Below are 16046 nucleotides of genomic sequence, written 5' to 3'. Positions count from 1 at the left end.
ATGAGGAAATAGATCCTGAACAAAGAAGTTTCAAATTTAAAAAAATACTCATGATGCTTGAAAGTTAAATTTCAAAGGAACTTAGAAACTGAAATGAGCACAAATGTTTCAGGCTTGCTTTCTATTTTTAAAAATATCCTTTGATGATAATAGTTTAAATACTGCAATGCAAATTATAAATGAATTTCATATAATAGGCAATAAAATCAAGTATGGCACTTTTATTACAGACATTTATCAGTAAATCAAATATGAAAGAAATACACAGCCCTGGCTATACAGAAACTATGTTACTGATTAGCTGAGAAAACTCTTGGGAGGGGGAACCTATTTATAAAACAAAATCACAAAAGTTTTTGGATGCTCATTTTGTTTTACACTTAAGATAAAAATCTGCTAATGAGTTTCTATTTCTTTCTAAATTTTGTGCCTAAGCTCTGTATTATTTGGCTTATCTATCTCTAGTGTAGATATGAGAGAGCTATAAAAAGACAGAGAAGAACCAACAACAGTGAAGTAGTAAAGTTGGAAGCTTCTGGAACATCAAAGAATTCCAGTGCTGGCAGCAAATGAAGAGTCATTGAGGAGGGGATTCTTTTTGCAACCTGTAGGGGATGTTCTCAGCAAGCTTTCAAAAGAGACAGCACTCTTGCATAGAATGAGAACCGGGCGTGTAGGAAGGGTGTAGTTGGAAGGGGTCACTTGTTATGACGATACCTCTTATATAAAATTATGATGTAATAGGTATGCATACAACATATAATGCAGCCACCACGTAGTTATACTTCTTATGTCTAAAAAAGAACTCCTAAATGACAAATGATGTTTAACACTCAATCCATTTTCCAGAGCTTGCTTCATGGCTAGATGACCTATGCCGTCATTCCGACCCTGTACTCAGTTTAAAGATTTGCTGATGATGTATTTAAACTTAATCATTTAAGAACAAAGGACCTGCATGTTCAGTTTAAGCTACGAATTAGGTAGCCAGTCCTCCCATATATCACACAGATCCAAAAAAGGTATCTGTTTGCTTGCAGGTTACAAAATAAACAGATACACCTTAGAATACTCCTAAGTATGTTTAATGGAATAAATGTAATGTCCATAATCTCCTAGTAAATTTGGGACATTATGAAATTAGGTGGTGAGAAGTTTCAAGGGAATGTTGCTTTACCTTGTTTCCAGTGTCATGCTACCTTGCTTGTTAAAGTCAACTGTCAACACTGGGTTTTGCAACTACTCACATTCTAGGTTGGGGGAAGGAGAAATTGACGCAGAAAATATAGTTACCCTCTGGTCATTCAGCCTGTAAACAGTGCTATAGATGAAATTTGTGCTCTGAGATTTTAGTCATGTTATTTTCTTAGAAATTGAGAAGAAATTTATAAAAATGCACCTAACAGTGATGGCCTGTGCCTATGGTTATGCAATTTTTATTTAGCATAATTTCAATATTTTTCCTGTCAAAATTTTACTTTCTTCCCAAAAAACCCTTAGATTTAAAGGAGAAATAATGTTATTTCTCACATATAAATGAATCAGACAGACATCAGGAAAGGAAGACTAACAAGACTAACTGAACCTTGATTTATAATTCCCCATGCCCTTTAGGTCTGAAAACTTTCCATTTCAGTCAGAAAAACATGCAATTTATTTTTTCTCACAAGAAATGTACTCTACATATTATAAATTAGCAGAGAGGACAAAGATGCTCAGAATGTCTCTGCATTCATGACCATGTAAAAAGAAGTTCCAGCGATTACCATAATTACAGCATTAAAAAAAAAACTAAACTAAACTTTCCTCTTCTCTTGTAACACACAATCCTTTCAACTCTGAAATTAAAATCAGGTTTGAAGTATTAATAATCTAATCCTAAGACATATACCATTGTCTAGTTGATCAACCGGTATGGCTTTATCTCCATAGGGTTATAGGGAAATCCTGTTATTTTGCAGCAAAGCCAAAATCATAAGCCAATCATTAGTAGCAGCAAAATATTTTATCCTTGGACTTAATACATGCTATTTTTGGACAAGTTATATAAGGCAGGAGTGTATGATTGTGAGCATATTGTCAGAAACTTGTCAATGTCTTTTTAGGTTGCCAAGAGTAGGCATAGAAGGGAAGAGGTGGGTGTTTGAATTTAGGTTTCTCAGATCTATCATTCAGTCAAACAGAAGCACGCTTTCCACATTCACAGGATTCATATCATAAATCAAATACTTTCATTTACTTCTCCTTTAATACTTGCTTAATCATGACTGCTTCTTCCTTTGTAGATTTCCATGTGGTTTCCAAGCCCTATCACTACACTGGTGTAAAATATGCATTCCATCTCTATGAAAGCTGTAATGAATGAGCTAAGGTTGAATTTACTTCTCTGTTCATGCACATTACAACGGTCATTCTCAAAAGGTGTTCAAAACATTTATCCCCACAGTGATTTGAGAATAAATTAATATTGCCCTTTTGGTAAACATGGAAAACAGGATCAATGGCATTAAAATATTCATTTAGGATTACAGGTACTGATGACTATTCATAATCATAAATGTATATATTTGAATAATTCTAACTCCATGATAAAGGCAAAATTATTTTTAAAAAGAGAAAACGTGGATTTTCACAGTGATTTAAAAAATCAGTGACACACACCCGCTAATATTCGCACCCACCTGCCCTTCCCTACACACACAGGACCAGAAAAACTGAATACATTAAAATATCAATTAATAACCAAGATAACAATGTCCCATGTTATAGTCTTAATGTAAACAGTTTCAGCTTACATAAAAGCAAAACAGAACAAACCAACTACATATTCTATCCATACCACTTTTCAACTCAGTAAAAATTGTTCCCCCAAATTAAAAAAATATATATATTTAGTTTAGTTTTTGATTTGGCAGATCATCACCCTAATTGTTATGTTTCAACTAATTTCCCTGAGAAAAATAACATCTGGAAGAATAAACTGAAAGTACTACCTATTATATTACATGGCAGAGAGGTTTCTACTTGAGATATAAATATTACCATGTATAATTTCCCATGTGAATGAAAACACAAAACAAAACACAGGTAAAGCTCTGAGGTAAAGAATCGAAATTTTCTTAAGCATTCAGGAGATAGAAGCTGAAATACTTTTGAATATATAGCATTATTTTTAACTTTGTTAAGATACTGATGAATAAAATAAAATATTTTTAAAAGGTGATAAATCCTCAATAATATCATGCTTACCAAAGTAGACATATTGAGAGAAGCATAATAAAATGGTATGTTATTAGTGTCAACTATATTTAGAAATAATATTAATTCTAAGCAGCAAACAAATGATGACTTTACAAGAATGTCACATTTCAATTTTTACCTGTCTTTGGCTCCACTGAGAAGTACGGCTGTCCTTGCAGAATACTGTAGACCACTCTGGCACTGTTGCCATATGTAGGATCATCAGCATCCGTCGCTGTCACTTGTACCACTGAGGTCCCTAGATGCCAATCCCAAAACCACTGAATTAAAAACTTCCAAATACCACAAAACAAAAAACGTACAAAATGTTACTGATTCCACATTAAGCTTATTTGAAAATTTTCATTTATCTTTTTCAAGACACATAAAAAAATGGATACAGTATTTTTTTAAGTAAACCAGCCCCAAAGAGATCATAAATATTAATAAAACTCTTGAAATGTTTAAGGGATAAGAAAATATTCTGGCAAAAAAAAAAATACCATCGATGATGCACATTAGGCTGGGATATACTCTGAATTGGATGGGACTGAAACTTTAGGTGTCTCATCCATTGGGCTCAGGTAATATATTTTCATCAAGAGCAGCTTCTATAAGACTCAATCACTGTCTAGAAAGCAGCAAGACAACAGCATCTTGGACACTCAAGTAATTGCAGGTATACAACTGTCATAGTTAAGAAGATCCAGATAGAAATCAAAATGTCATTAATTGACAAAGAATATTTGATGCACCTAACTGTATATTAGGTGGCTACCCTATCTCCTTGGGATTTTGTTTTTAATTTTCTCTGCCAATTGATCTAAAAACAAAACAGGAAATGAAAATTTAAACCAAACCCCTCGTAAAAGAGGAAAGCCATGGAAACTTTAAAAATTGCATCAATAGTTTTTTCTTTGTTATATGATGAAATGTTATATTCTTTCTTCATTTACTATATATTCACACATTCAATATGGAAAGCATTTCTTCTGATCTGTTTTCCTTTTTTTCCATTTGGAATGTAATCTTTAAAATATTAGAGAGACTCATGTTTACTTAGTTTATATATTTAGTTATATACTATTATTTAGTAAATATGCTATCTTTTAAATATGGAACAAGCCCCTTTCTTTATGTGTTATTTAAGGTCCTAGTTTGTTACAAATAATTTCCTGAATACAACATTTTAAAGCTAACATATTTTTAGATTGATTTCTATGTAAATATCTCTTTCAAAATGACTTAAGCAAGTCATTAATGCCCATTTTGCTATAAATCCACTTTATTTTCTATATATATTTCATTGCCAATTCCATTTTCTTTAAAATTACGTGGAAATTATGAAAGTTAAGTGTACAGCACTATTCTTTAAATCCTGAAGTTTTTATTTTATTTTATTTTATATTTTCAGATGGAGTTTTGCTCTTCTTGCCCAGGCTGGAGTGCAATGGCACAATCTTGGCTCACCGTAACCTCCACCTTGCAGGTTCAAGTGATTCTCCTGCCTCAGCCTCCTGAGTAGCTGGGATTACAGGCATGCGCCACCATGCCCAGCTAATTTTGTATTTTTAATAGAGACAGGGTTTCTCCATGTTGGTCAGGCTGGTCTCGAACTCCTGACCTCAGATGATCTGCCCACCTTGGCCTCCCAAAGTGCTGGGATTCCAGGCGTGAGCCACCACACCCAGCCTGAAGTTTTTTATTTTATGGACTTAGATGATTGTGCCCTGTGGATGTCTGGTGGGGACAAGATGGTAAATAATGCATATTTTAAATCTTTTTAAGAATTAAATTTTGAATATTCAAAAAGTTGTAATAAATTACATTGATGTTCTCTCTTTCCTCTATATGTATCATCTTTACAATATTTATTTTGGTAATATGCCTAAGCATTATTTTCCAACTTCATTTTAAAAGAAAGCAAACAATTTTAAACCAAATAATAAAAACTAAACTTCAGTAAGTTTGGCTGTGTACAATAACACATTTTTTTCTGAAAAGTTCATTATCTCATTTAACACATATAGACACACACACCAGATACACACACATATTCACAAATAAATTTAAGCTTTCCACACCTGTCTATGTTCTTCTGGCAATAAATAAAGTATCCTAAAGGCTTACTAGTGTGTTTAAAATTTTATGATTAGCTAACATCCAATAAAAAATGATCCTTGAATATTAAACACTGAAAGCTTGCATGGTCTATATCATACTATTTGATGGCTATTTTACTTGGTTAGACTTAAGCACTTTGATTAACTATAGTGTTTGATAAACTGTAAGCCCATACAACGTATGTTATGTAGTTTAGGTATTCCATGTTCTATGTTCCAGTTTTTATATTAAGTTAGTGGTCTGAATTGGTGTCAAGTACACCCTGAAGACATCAGAAAATAATTCTCTAAGAAAATTCCAAACCCATTTGAATCAGCCAAGTATATAACTTAAATATAAATTATTGAAGCACTGTGATATGGGCCAGGTACACACCTGTAATCCCATCACTTTGGGAGGCTGAGTCGGGCAGATCACAAGGTCAAGAGATTGAGACCATCCTGGCCAACATGGTGAAACCCCATTTCTAGTAAAAATACAAAAATTAGCTGGGAGTGGTGGTGCGCACCTGTAGTCCCAGCTACTCGGGAGGCTGAGGCAGGAGAATTGCTTGAACTCGGGAGGTGGAGGTTGCAGTAGGCCAAGATTACACCACTGCACTCTAGCCTGTCAACAGAGTGAGACTCCATCTCGCAAAAAAAAAAAAAAAAAAAGAAAAGAAAAGAAAAGGTACTGTGATATGAAACAGCATGACTATTGTGCACACTTAAATAATATAATTTATTTAACTTATACATTATTCAAGTGTGCATAATATTCATGCTGTTTCATGTCAGAGTACCATCAAAATCAAAACAACAGTGCACTATTAGCTTCTAAAACAAAAAGTTCACATATCTATATTCTATGCAGGAAAGGAAAACCTTAGCAAGCCAATGAAGAACAACCAAAATGTCCATGAGATCTGGGAGTACGAAGTTGAATTGAATTGCTCAAACATATCTCGAAAATTCCTGTTTTACTAAACGTTACTAATCTGGGGAGGAAAATGTGCCCTTTCTTTTTTCTAAAATCTTGTAACAGTTACTGTTGCTGCTGCTCTTGTTGGTAAGCAAGAGCAGCAGGAAGCACTTGGAAGGTGTGGACGGTAGTGAGGAAGTGTGAATACACCTGTTTGGTCACAGAAATGCTAGCAATGCTTACATATGTGCTAATTATAGTAAGATCATGCCACTGTGGTTCAAATTCTTCCTGGCCACAAGCATTGATTCTTCTGTCTCCTTGTCATTTGGTATTTCTCTAGCAGCTAGAGCCATGGTGGTAACCCAAATAATTTCCCCTCTCTCTTCTAATAGGAACAGAAATTTAGGTTCACTAAACTGTGATCCCCTTAAGAGCACACATGATACACATCTTTGCAACCCCACTCCTCAGTGTCGTAGGTATGTTGATTGCATGATTGGATGAATGAAATGACCTTTTTTTTTTTTTTAATAAATCACATGGGTTAAAATACCCATGTGTTAAAATACAAGTTCCATTATTATTTTAAATAAACTCTCAATATTAAAAACAGCAGGAAATAAATATATAATAATCAACCCATCTCTCATCCAGTCTAATAACTTTGTATTTTTTATAAGATTTCCTATGCTTAAATTACATACTTGCTGTAAACTATTCCAAAAGTACTTGAATAAATGAAATTTAAAAGAGAATTTTGATTATTCGATATAAACACTAGAAATGCTTTACTGGGTATCTTTCTAGTAATGGCGCGATGACAAAAGGCCTTGAATAAAAAAGCCTTCATGTTTTAAATATATATCTCCAAATGGGTAACTCCTTACCGTTGCTATAAATTCACTACAAATTTCCATGCATTTAAGTTTTTGGAGAAATTTTTTAAAATTAGCGGTGGCATGGACACATGTCAGGGAACAACACACACTGGGGCCTGTTGGAGGGTTGGGGGTAGGAGGAAGAGCATCAGGAAGAGTAGCTTAGTGATGCTGGGCTTAATACTAGGTGATGGGATAATCTATGCAGCAAACCACCATGGCACACATTTACCTATCTAACCTGCACATCCTGCACATGTATCCCTGATCTTAAAATTTTAAAATAATTAGTGGTGGCATGTGTATGGCCATTTGTAGGTTCAAGCATACTCATTACAATTAAACAGAACAGCCAATCCAAATATTAATCCAAATATTAGCCTGGATAGCCATTGATGGCCTTCTTGATACATTGGCCATAGAGAGATGTTTAGAACAATGAATCAATATCTTAATATCATGGAAAGAAAAGTAAAAGATCATCACTGGCCTGTGTCTGGAAGAATTCTGTTTGTTAACTTCTGAGGCATCACTGTAATCATTTAAAAATATAAATAAATATCAAGTTGAAAAAATGTAAGATTGAAGTAATTTCCTGAAAACACTGAAATAGCTGTATAAAAACAATTTCCTAATATTCCATACAAATAAATTAATAAGTTAAGTTAATGGATACTGGCTGCCAACATGTCTCAAATGTTCCCCTCACCCTAACTGACAATCAATACACACATACTAGTAAGGTTTTTTTTTTTTTCAGTACTTAATGATGATTTAATTTTAAATACAAATCTCCCCAAATCGGCCACAAGCTACAAAAGCAGAGTGTTCTTTACTTACCCACGGGAGACATTTCGGGAACTCCTGCCGTGTATGGGCCATCCAAAAATTTGGGTTCATTGTCGTTGATATCCTGAATTTTGATGACAAACTCCGACTCGGGCTCCACGGGTTTGTTGGTGAGCCTATCCAGCGCTTGAGCTCGGAGCGTGTAGTAGGCCTGCTCCTCACGATCCAGTCTCTTGGTGGCATGAATATCCCCAGTGTTCTCATCAATAATGAAAATGGAACTTGCCCCTTCGCCTGACAAGATGTATTTGATGGAACCATCTCCTTTATCAACATCAGAGTGAAGCTGGTGAAAAATTCATGTGAGATGAGATTAACTTACAAGAGAGTCAGTGATATGGAGATATGTAAAAATAATTCTTATGTCAGGCAGGAGTACATGAAATTTTATTGTTCTTGGAAAGATAAGCTGAACGCTTATTGTGCACAGCAGAAAGGCTATTAGAATGTGTCAGCTTGTACATGTGAGCAAGACAATTTCATTTCTTCCTGTAAACAGCCTCATTTCCAAAGGTATTTTATATCAGTCCCAAAGTTGGGAACTGGTTGTAGTGTTATTTTGTATTTGATCTGTCCTTGCCAGTTTTAGCCATCTTCTTTGAACAGAGCAGGCATTCAGTAAACATGTATAATGGGTTGATTTGATCTATTCTAAGCAAAGAAACTTTCTATAGAACATTTGTAAATCTGGTTCCAATATACCATTTAATATGCTTAGAAACCCCCATATTATTTAAGGGTGCCCTTCTCTCCCTCCTCCCTGCCCTGTCCCCACTCACACTCTGTGATTAACGAGTGTGGCTGGATGTCCAGTCTCTAAATCTGTCTCCAAGTCCTGTTCCGTATTTTAAAAATTGGAGCTGAAAAAAATGACACTGCTCTCTCAAGTAGGAATTTTAAATCAATACATGCATGGGACTTCAACTAAAAGCTTTGTTGAAATACCCAGAACTGCATTAGATTTGCATGATCAAGCACAGCATCAGCAGCAGGGCAGCACCTCCCGATTTGCATTTCACATCTGGAACTGTCCCTGCTGTATGTCAGAACATAATGTTGAACAGAGGAACCTCAGGAAACTCACACGTAATTACACATTTCCCTGAACTTCATAACCTGACAAACGCGCTACTCAATCCGTCATTTCAACAATCTTTCACCCCCTATAACTGCCATCATTCTGCACTTTGGTTAATATGAATGTAAAAACTCAATTTACCAAATAATAAAGCTTTTCACTGCCCTTAAGAACTATGTTTGCATTTTTTAAAAGACAAGGTGCTAAAGATATATAACATATGAAAAAAAAACACCAAGGAAAGTATGGACACAGTACATTTTCATCCTTCCCTGTAGCTGTTGAGGACATTGCCTTTTGTACCTTGAATTTCTGTAAGTGATTCTTTCCCTGCACTGTAACGGCCATGTTTATCCTCTGCTTCCAAGTACTTGAATACCTGATTTACCTTTTGGTTTCTGTAGGACTAAATAACACAAAAAGTAAATTTCTGGCACAAGTTATAATTTAACTTTTTTCAGTGTGAATTATCTAGTGGATCCTAAGCCATATGTTTATTCAGTGTAGGGAAAAGGTGTGTTCTTCAACTATTGTGAATTATTTAACTGTCTTAAGTCATTTTTAGGGTTACTATTATATATGTATCTCCCTCTAATTTATAATACAAAGGGTGAAATATGAGAATTATTATAGTTTTAATTATTAAGAACTTCCTAGATGTCAGTCACTATGCTTAACATTCTTTTTTTAAAAACAAAACAAAGCAGAAACTTTTATTTAGGTTTGGAGGTACATGTGAAGGTTTGTTACATGGGTAGAACATTATTTACATAGTAATTCATTCAATATTCACATCTGCCCTTAATCCTACTAACAGACGAGGAAACTGAGGTAAAGAAAGGCTAAGAACTTTGCCTGAAGTGGCCTGGCCAACTCTCTGGCAGATCCAGGATTATAAAAGCTGGCAGGCTGGTCTAAAGCCCACATCCCCACTCCCTATAACGAGATCCAGGCTCCAGGATAGGAATTGTTGCCCTGTGTGCTAGGGTCTTCAAGAGCTGATGCAAAGGGGAACTTGAGGAAAGAAGGGACTATGCAACCAACCCCACCTGATCACCCCCCCAAATCTTCAAGAAGCTCAGTGCTTCCAGTGGTTTCCATGTGTGCATTTTATGACTTATGAGAAGGGTTCCTTCTTGCCATTACATAACAGTAAACTCCACTACACTCAGCAGCACATAGCAAAAGACTTGACTCCCAAGACAAATGCAGATGATGGATGAAAATAAGTTGTTTTTAAGCTTCCAGTCCCCGGGCCGCTTAACGCTCAGTGCTGCTCTCCTAATGCTCCCTCACCCTCATCTGTGCTCCTATGGGGCGGCACCTGGTAGCAACTTACCTACACGTTACTGCTGACAGTGGTGTGCAATGTTAGAAGAACATCCAGAAGACCACAAGAAATATCAATTATATACATGGGTCATGTCTTTAATCAAAGCTTTTTTACACTGAAATCACATTAACGACTTTCATTTACAGAACAAGCTCTTATGATTCATTTACCTAATTCCCACCAACTGATCACTGTTTTCCTGGCATGGTGCTACAATGTCCCTGTGGTATTCCAAGTATGAGAGACAAAATAAATTTATTTTCAAGAAAAATCACACAGTAAGCCCTGACTGTGAACTTCAACCTGAGCTCTGATGCTGCGTTTTATTAAACATTACGGGGTTGTCAGTTGTTCTCCATTACTGACAGCATCAGAACTTAAAAGTTTCATACTGCTTGCTTCTCCAATCATTCAACAATCAAATTCTTTCTCTTCTATTACCTACCCATGCCCCAGCCGTGCCCCACCCCACCCCCACGCACACATCCTGTTTCAGAAGTCCTAAACTTTACTATTCTTCCCATCGCTGACAATTTTCTCCCAGCTGGTACCATCACTAGGCTTCTAACCACTGCCAAAATTCACAAGCAGAAAATTGCTTGGAGTCTAAACTCAGTGTCTTTGCAAAGTTACTGTAAGCATCTGTGGTTAAAATTGACCAACTTTGAATTGTTAAAACAGGTACATAATTATCTGAGGCATTCAGACATTTAATCTGTGAGACTTTGTGCATTATACTAATCCTAACAGGTGGAGTGAAATCCACACTCTTAGTAAAAAACTCCTCTCTCCTTGATGAAAAAGAGTGCTCAGCAAAGAAGAGAAATGTTGCCAAGTGTAGAAATAGCAAATCACGTTCTTAAGTTGACAAGTGTCTCTGCAGGCACGTGCACACTCACGGACACACACACACACACACATGCATGGACACCTTTGAGAATAACTATTACAACCTGAACAGAAAAATGTTACTCTCTACTGTGAAAACCTTTGACCAAGAAAAAAACAAACTATGATCCTATAAAATGGTAAATAAGTACATAAACAAAATAAACGCAACCAAAGACAAGTATTTGTGCTCTATTTGGGGGCAGAATAGGAATCACCTAGGTCTATTGTACTCACAGATACCCTTGCAAATGTGAACCTGAGATTAGCCTAAACAATAACAAAAAAAAAATCTCTATTAATAAGCAGACAAAACTTACCTTTACTGCCTGGGTTCCTAAATCCTTTTCAAAGTATTTGTTTTGACTTTGAAGTAACTATTTAAAGATTTTTTTTTTTTCAAATGAGCACAAAAAGTGAGAGGCATAGAATCCTTAGCTGAATCTAGCTCATGATAAGGCAAAAAATAAGCTGAGGAGGAGGTGCAATTATGTAAATCCTGTGTCATTATGTCAGCATCATGTATTAATATGTAAGAAATATCAATCAGACTCTCATAAACTACATAGACCATGAATGCAAATCACATTTTACATGTATCCTAAAATATATTTCTGAATAATCTATTAATGTTCCATCAGGCCCTGCTTGATAGAGCACCCTCCACCATGAGTCTATTGTATCTGAGCCCTTTTTCATTCATTCTGAATCATAATCCTAGTTTAGAATCTTCAAACCTTTCACTTGGGCTATTGCAAAACACCTCATTTTTTTTTTAATTTTAATAACTCACATTGCCTAGCCTGTCATAATCAAATTATTTCCTCTAAAACATATATTAAATTATATCACACCCCTCATTAAACGTTTTTGTCTACAAGAGTATCTTTATCAATAAGTGCTGAAAGATAACACTGAGATATCATAATATCTCATATTTGCACAACAATGTTAGCCTGAAGGACTTTCATGATGGATCGGCCCCTGGGCATGGCCCGGAGCTTCCCGATGGTCCAGCCAATTGTGGCTGTTTATTCCAGGAAGCATCTATTGCTATGTTCATGCTCATTTTAGAGCCTATGGAAAGTACATCTTTGCTGAGAATTCAACTCTTTTGAAGTTATTTCAAAGTGAATGGAACATTTACTTGGCTGACTCTTGATCCTCCTTCTTTGGCCTTTTCAGCATGCTCACCAAATATATTTAATTGCTTCCCACAGTCTATGGATTTAACCGAAAATTCTAGGCATGAGTCCCAATCTGACTCCATACTATCTCCCAGGCCTCGTTTTCCCACATCTCACAGTGTAGTCTATGGTCCAAGCATGCTGGACTAGTTCTCACTGCCTGAGCATAGCAAGCATTTCCATGCTTCCCAACACACCCACTCACAGACATCCAATTCAGCTCGATGCAAATTCCCTTTTCCTGAAGTCTTACAACTGTCTTGTTTATTTTCTGTAGTTTCTTGTTTCAATTTCTATGACAGAATTCATTTAATTCTGCTTTATATTGAAAATCTAGTTATTTTTATATCCAACTTTAATTTATAAACTCCTTTAGAACTAAGTTCTTTTTATCACTATGTTCTACATTCTTAATAAAGTCTGTTGTATTAAATTTGGTAAATTTATAATCCACTTTGAAAAACAGCAGTATTTGTTTTATTTCAATTTCTGTCCATTTAAGTTTTAATAGCTTTTTAAAGAAAAAAAAATAAAACAAAACAAAAAACATCCTGTATCTCTGGTTTGTTCTCCATAATCCTCTGAACCACTTAGATGGAGTTCAGATGCCTTGCTTTGTTGCTCATGGTAACATTTAGTGTGTGATTTTGTACTTTCACACTTACATGTTTATGTTCCCCAGGAGACAGAGCCCTGGTAGAAACAGGCATCTTTCTTACTCCTGTTTCCTCAGCTTTTATACAGTAGTTCTCTCTCCCTTTTTCTCTCTCTCATAAATACACACACACACACACACACACACACGTGTGTTAAGGGAGGGTTGAAACGTGCTTGCATGTCCTTGGGTGCCAGAATCTCCATTACCTTCATTAAATTTTTACCCTCCTTATTTTTAAATTAAAGATTGTAGAGCCCAAAACTAAAAGAGCAATGCACTGCTATTCTGGTGATCTTTTTACATCTATATAACCAGACTAAGCATGATATGAACTACCTGGTCTACCACTTTCAATCCATCTGCTTAAATAAAAGTCTGATAATGGCAAATATCCTCAATTTAAGAGATAAAGGTAAAAACAATCAATTCAATATATTAACCAACTTTTCTTTCCTCTAGTACTTCTTAAACTCTGCTTGTTATTTGATCTTACTGATGATCTTATCTTTACTACCTAAAGCTTAGCCCTGTAAAATGGAGATAAATATATTCACACTTGAACTTGCATAATTGTGACCACTACTTGAGATGATACAGTGGAATGGGATTCATAAAGGTAAATTGTTATAATGTTAGAGTTGCACTTTTTGATGTCTTTGCCTTTGAAAAAAATACTAAATTTTCATGCCACAAAAAGACCATCTATAAACATAAGGTGAAATTTTATGAAAGAGATAATATGTATTGTGAAAGCTTTAACACTAATAAACGAAACTAGAAACTAAAACCTCTGTGATGCTCACTGACTTATTGACAATAAGGATGACAATAATTGCAGCTTTGTATTAAAGTTTTCCTTAAAATGAACGTTGGAATAAGAAAAAATACACTGTAATATAAATAAAACTTATACTGCTATTGCATTTGTGTCAACAAATGAAGTAATGATGGCAAAGTAAAAAGTGTGTGTGTTCTTTTTTTTTTTTTAACCACTGATTTACTTATTCTAGATTCCTCACTTTTAAAGAATAAAAGTGTATTCCAGATTATTAGAACCCATACAGGGTAATTTTATTAAAATTTTACAAGGTTAAAATTTTAAGTATAGAAGGTAGATTTAAACAATGATTGGCAGAAGTAAAAATGCCTGAATATACATATTATAAACAAGTTTTCTATTATGTCTTTTAATAAATATTTTCCACATACCACTGTATATATTGCAATTATCAAGCTGTTGAATAAATGTTACAGATGAAAACAAATGTATGAGTCATTTCTTTCTGGTTGAAGTATTCCTAATTTATAATTATTACTGTGGTTCAAGGTAATGGAACACAATTCACTTATAAAGCATCTCTAATGAAGACGTGTGGTTTAAGAAGATATTAATTGTTTTACAAACAAGAATAAAGGAAAGAGACATAATTCAGGAAGTGCATAGGTAATGGTAATATTGCCCTAAATATCATTTCTTTTATTAAGTAACAAATGAAAAGAAAAAATACTACTCATATTGTTTTTATTCTCAGAAAAAGTTCACAGTAATTCACTTGTGAGAAACAGCCATTCTAGGGGGTCACGGTCCATTTTCTTAGAGGCAGAGTGGCCCAATTGGAAGGTCAATGCAAAGAAGCCCCAGGTATGGCTACTGAATCTCCATTCTGCTCCATGTTGTGCTGTCTTGATGGTGCTTGGGTCCCAGTTTATTCATCTGTTATAGATCCATATCTGTAAATGTACAATTGGCTTTGAATGTTGACGTGAGGATAAAATAAAAAGATGCATTTGGAAGTAATTTTGTAAAATCAAAATTTCCATCCATATTAATACATTTCCATATAGTGGTGTAATATAATTATCTGCATTCCTTAGGGAAAACAGTCCTGCCTTGGAACCAAAAGGTTCCAAGGATCTGTGCCTATGACATGGTTACTTAGAGCTTCATGTTCACCGACACAGATTTTTCATCAGGGACCAAAAGACAGCAACTCAAAGAAGCATTCTTTATTCCACACAGCTACATTCACTTCCCTAAAGAAAACCCCACTCATCCTATCTCTGATTGCTGTCTCCAGACCAGATCCACAACTCTCACACAACTTAAGAAATCTGCCTACAGTCGAATTCTTAATGATCAAAATTGAAGCTGAGGCTTCATCCTCGCTTAGTGTAATTGTGAATGCTTCATGTTCTCTACTTGAGGGCTCGCCGGATAGGAGAGTACCTTGCTCTCTTAGTTGTAAACTCCATGAAATAGGCCAGAAGCACTTAAAAGCAACCCCTGGAGAGGCTAAGCTCTTTATCAAAAGAAGAACTTTTAATTTTACTTTTTAAAATGGGGCTGGTTGAGCAGAAAACGTCTATAACCAAGGCAAAAGTATCACCACTCAAAGTGAGGTATTGGTTTTTCTGAATTAAGATAAAAACAGAATTTGAGAGGAATGGCTTAGAAACTGTTATAGTCAGCTCACCAAATAATTTCATGTCTGTTGAACCCAAATACAATAATGAAAATAATGGGAACTGATTTTTTCATCTAAGAAATTTATTTTTATTGCATTTTACAAAACTAGCATCCAGTGACAATAGTATAGTGTGTTCTTAAAAAACAAATGTGTGCACAAAAACACAACCAACAACAAAAAACCCCTTAGCCTTTCATCACAGGTCCATTGAGAAGCACTGGGCCCATGAATAAAAACCCTACATGAAAACTCTTTTGAATGCTTCTAGGCAAAAGTCCATCTAACACTTCTTCCCTGTCATAACATTAGAGATGACTGGAAGAAACTCACCACAATGAAGGCAGAGAGCAATCTGAGAGCTCATCCTTAAGACTTGCACAAATGTTTTGTACCTGGCATTTTGGAGAAGGTATGCATGTACGTGTCGCAGACACCAATAG

At 35.2% G+C, this 16046-nt stretch overlaps 1 protein-coding gene across 4 annotated transcripts in view; it reads right to left on the bottom strand.

The window, feature by feature from the left end:
• CDH7 (cadherin 7) overlaps positions 1-16046 on the bottom strand; it is a 140086-nt gene that overhangs the window by 72354 nt on the left and 51686 nt on the right. For all 4 annotated transcript variants that reach the window (NM_033646.4, NM_001362438.2, NM_004361.5 and 1 more), the window contains exons 3-4: positions 7986-8280; positions 3380-3499 (exon numbers count right to left, since the gene is read on the bottom strand). In NM_033646.4, the coding sequence (NP_387450.1) occupies positions 3380-3499; positions 7986-8280 (415 nt within the window). The remainder of the gene's footprint in view (positions 1-3379; positions 3500-7985; positions 8281-16046) is intronic.

This window comes from Homo sapiens, chromosome 18, assembly GCF_000001405.40.
Source record: "Homo sapiens chromosome 18, GRCh38.p14 Primary Assembly".
Classification (NCBI taxonomy): domain Eukaryota; kingdom Metazoa; phylum Chordata; class Mammalia; order Primates; family Hominidae; genus Homo; species Homo sapiens.
The sequence above is the reverse complement of the archived record's forward strand: the minus strand, read 5'-3'. Positions and strand labels throughout refer to the sequence as shown.